The sequence below is a fragment of the Homo sapiens genome, chromosome 7, assembly GCF_000001405.40.
Source record: "Homo sapiens chromosome 7, GRCh38.p14 Primary Assembly".
Lineage (NCBI taxonomy): Eukaryota > Metazoa > Chordata > Mammalia > Primates > Hominidae > Homo > Homo sapiens.
In genome coordinates, this window is record NC_000007.14 from 54,416,502 (window position 1) to 54,420,835 (window position 4,334).

Below are 4,334 nucleotides of genomic sequence, written 5' to 3' on the forward strand. Positions count from 1 at the left end.
ACAGATAATGTTATGTACATACACTATTATATATACATAATACCATATATATTATTATATACAGACTATTAGACTATTTTATACATATATAGTCTAGTCTATATAATAGTCATAGACTATTAAATATAATATATTTATATATATATATATATATATATACAGGAAAATTATTTAGTCTTTAAAAAGCAGGATATCCTATTATTTGAGCAACAGGGATAAAGCTGGAGTACTTTATGTTAAGTGAAATAAGCCAGGCACAGAAAGACAAATACTCAAATGTGGAATCTAAAAAAGCAGAACTCATGGAAGCAGAGAGTAGAATGGTGGTTGCCAGGGACTGAGACTGGTGGGAAAAATAGGGTGATATTAGTCAAAGGGTACAAAAGTGTAGTTAAGCAGGATGAATACGTTCTGGAGAGCTACTGCATACCATGATGACTATAGTTAACAATACAGTATTGTATACTCGAAATTTGCTGAAAGTAGATTTTTAAATGTTCTCACTACACGAAAAAGGGTAACTATGTCAGGTAATGAATATGTTAATTAGCTTAATTGTACTCATTTCACAATGTATATGCATCTCAAACATCACTTCAACATATAAAGTTTTATTTGTAAAACCTCAATAAAGCTGAAAAAAAAGAGAAACACTTCTTTCTCTAAAAGGTACAGATAAAATATAAACACCTTTTATCCAACTAAAACTGCTAAAAACACTATGATTAGTCTTAATACTTTTTTCCTATATTAAGATTTTCTTTGTGGACAATTCTATTATTTTATAAATACCTTATTTTTTCCTTTACTATTCTTAATTTGCTTAGATTTTATTTTTACTTGTCTTTTGCATTTGCTAGAAACTTCAATGATCCATGTATTTTTATATAGTCAATTGATTACATATTGGACATGAAATCAGTAAGATTTTTAAATCCTTAATAATGGCTTAAAAGGAATCCCAGAGGACCCTGCAGGCCTCAAACCTCAACTCTGTTTGACAGTGAGGTTCATTTTTGAACCTCACTGTTCACTTGTTTTGCTTCCCTCATTCATATAAGTAAATATATCTGAGATACATTATTTTTGTTACCTAATCAGATCAGCTAATGATTTTAGTTGATCTTGGTTTTCATGTGATGAAAAATAACTGCAAACATACTATTTTGTATGGTCTACCTGATCATTTTGGCCTTTGTTGTTGTTTTTAGCATTAGGTGTAATGTTATAGACACCATCACCCAATTCATACTGATTTCCACACTCATTTAGATTAACAGGAGCATGGTGAGTTCTCTATATGAAGCATAGAATAAATTCTAGAATACTAAATAGAAGAGCCATTCTCTTACATGTGAATGGCATAATGAACTATGCTAATAATGTTCAGCAGCACAGAGGACCCACTGGATCTACACTAAGGTACAGAAAAAAAAAACGGGTTTCAGAGTTGACTCACCAAATTGATGTTAATGTGACTGAAAATTCCTTCTCTTAGAATAGCAAATACCCCTTATAAAATCTTATTTACACCTAACTCACTTGCCAACATGGTTTATCTCTAAATTGCATAAATAGCATTCTTCCTTTTCAAATTATCTCAAATACTTTACTAATAGACTCTAAATTAATAAGGATTTGCTGTATTTCAGCTACTCCATAATCAAATAGGCAATTTTTTGTCAGCTTAGAATGAAAGCCTTTTAGTTGTTTAAAAAAACTAAAAATAACAAAAATTAATAAAATGTAAACTATGTTAGGGCATCACTTTCCTGATTTTTTATGCACTATGATAGAAATATAAAATATAAACACAAAATACCTTCTTTGTTATACATAGAAATTTTCTATTTTATGTTGCTTCTCAGCAGGAAAACATTTTCAAATGAATGTGCAAAATAATGAGATAAAGGAATGCTTAAAAACATTTTCTTAAATTTAGCCTTTAAGAAACATATATACATGTTTCTTAAACATATACATATATAGAGAACATATGTATATGTTCTCTATATATATAAGTGTTAATCATATAAAGTGGTATGGAGTAGTGGTGATGTAAGATCATACAGAACAGCAACAACAAAAGTCTTGGGGGTGAACTTTCAAGCATGTTTTTAATAAATTATATAATTTCAGTTTTAAATATGTGTATATATAATTTTAAAAATAGATGTTACTAAGCATCATCTTACATGAAAATAACTACTCTCAGGCATGTGTTTTGCCCCTCCATGTTCTTCTTTTCTGATTATGAAAGTGAGTTTCTGATGAGCTGATTTCAGGGGATTTAGCTGGGTTTACAGCAGCAAGTGGAAGGAATTTCAAGCATTGCCTTCTAACACGTAGATACACGGGGCATGTGGGTGGCACATTCACAACTGGATCCGGACGGAACAGTCTCCAGACTATTCCAACCAGATCAGAAGTTTTACCTTGGGGTCCATGAATAGGCTTTGTCTTCGGAATACCTGAAACTGTGCTCATCTTTTGGTTCTCTCTCTCTCTCTCTCTCTCTCTCTCTCTCTCTCTCTTTCTCCCTCTCTCTCTCTTTCCTTTTTAAGGAAGACAACTCAGATGTTTCTATCAGAGTCTCAGTGGCGTCTAAGACCTGAGGAAGTGAAAGCACTCCTTAGCTAGAGAAAGACAAAAACACACCTCTGAGTAACTCCGCCTGGTGTATTTGACACGGTCTCCTTTTCTTAGGACCTGTGAGAAGGTACAGACGTTTATTCAAACAGAAAAGGAAAGCATCTCTGCACATTCCCGCAAACCCTACGCCATCTTTTAAAATGTTAAAATTCAAGAGTTTGGAGTGTTTTTCACAGCGGGAGGGGAATCCTAGGAATTGCTTAATAAAAAAACCTAGGCAGCCCCGGAGTCAAAGCCGGTTCCCGGCCTGATCCCGTCCCGCAACAGCCTGCCTCCTCTTTCCTTTCAACATGACAGATGCCGCTGTGTCCTTCGCCAAGGACTTCCTGGCAGGTGGAGTGGCCGAAGCCATCTCCAAGACAGCGGTAGCGCCCATCGAGCAGGTCAAGCTGCTGCTGCAGGTGCAGCATGCCAGCAAGCAGATCACCTCAGCTAAGCAATACAAGGGCATTATAGACTGCGTGGTCGTATTCCCAAGAAGCAGGGAGTCCTGTCCTGGCGCGGTAACCTGGCCAATGCCATCAGATACTTCCCCACCCAGGCTTTTAACTTCGCCTTCAAAGATAAATACAAGCAGATCTTCCTGGGTGGTGTGGACAAAAGACTCAGTTTGGGCGCTACTTTGCAGGGAATCTGGCATCAGGAGGTGCCGCTGGGGCCACATACTTGTGTTTTGTGTACCCTCTTGATTTTGCCCGTACCTGTCTAGCAGCTAATGTGGGTAAAGCTGAAGCTGAAAGGGAATTCCGAGGCCTCTGTGACTGCCTGGTTAAGATCTACAAATCTGATGGGATTAAGGGCCTGTACCAAGGCTTTAACGTGTCTATGCAGGGTATTATCCGAGCTGCCTACTTCGGTATCTATGACACCGCAAAGGGAATGCTTCCGGATCCCAAGGACACTCACATCGTCATCAGCTGGATGACCACACAGACTGTCACTGCCTTTTCTGGGTTGACTTCCTATTCATTTGACATCGTTCGCCTCTCGTGATGATTCAGTCAGGGCGCAAAGTAACTGACATCATGTACACAGGCACACTTGACTGCTGGAGGAAGATTGCTGGTGATGAAGGAGGCAAAGCTTTTTTCAAGGGTTCATGGTCCAGTGTTCTCAGAGGCATGGGTGGTGCTTTTGTGCTTGTCTTGTTTGATGAAATCAAGAAGTACAGGTAAGTTATTTCCTGGGTGTTTTTCCCCCTGTGAACAGGCATGTTGTATTATATAACATATCTTGAGCATTCTTGACAGACTCCTGGCTGTCAATTCATGAATGGCAACTGTTTGTTGGTAGAAAATGGGAAACAATAATATTCATCTGACCAGTTTTCTCTTAAAGCCATTTTCATGATGATGACGATGATGGGACTCAATTATATTTCTTATTTCAGCCACTACTGATAAACAACAAATTTGGAGAAATAAAAATATCTAAATACAAAAATTTTTAAAAACCTATGGCTTTTTATTTACTAACAAATTTAACCATGGTTATGATGTGCACCCTTCATTACACAAACGTCCATAATGAAAATTCCCTATGTATGTAAAGTTATGCATATTTAAAAGACTAAATAGAATATATATAGATTTTTTTGAGACAGAGTCTCACTTTGTTGCCCAGGCTGGAGTGCAGTGGCACAATCTCTGCTCACCACAACCTGCGCCTCCCAGGTTCAAAGG

General features: G+C 36.9%; 1 pseudogene; it reads left to right on the forward strand.

Moving 5' to 3' along the window:
* On the forward strand, positions 2,870-4,099 carry SLC25A5P3 (solute carrier family 25 member 5 pseudogene 3; annotated as a pseudogene).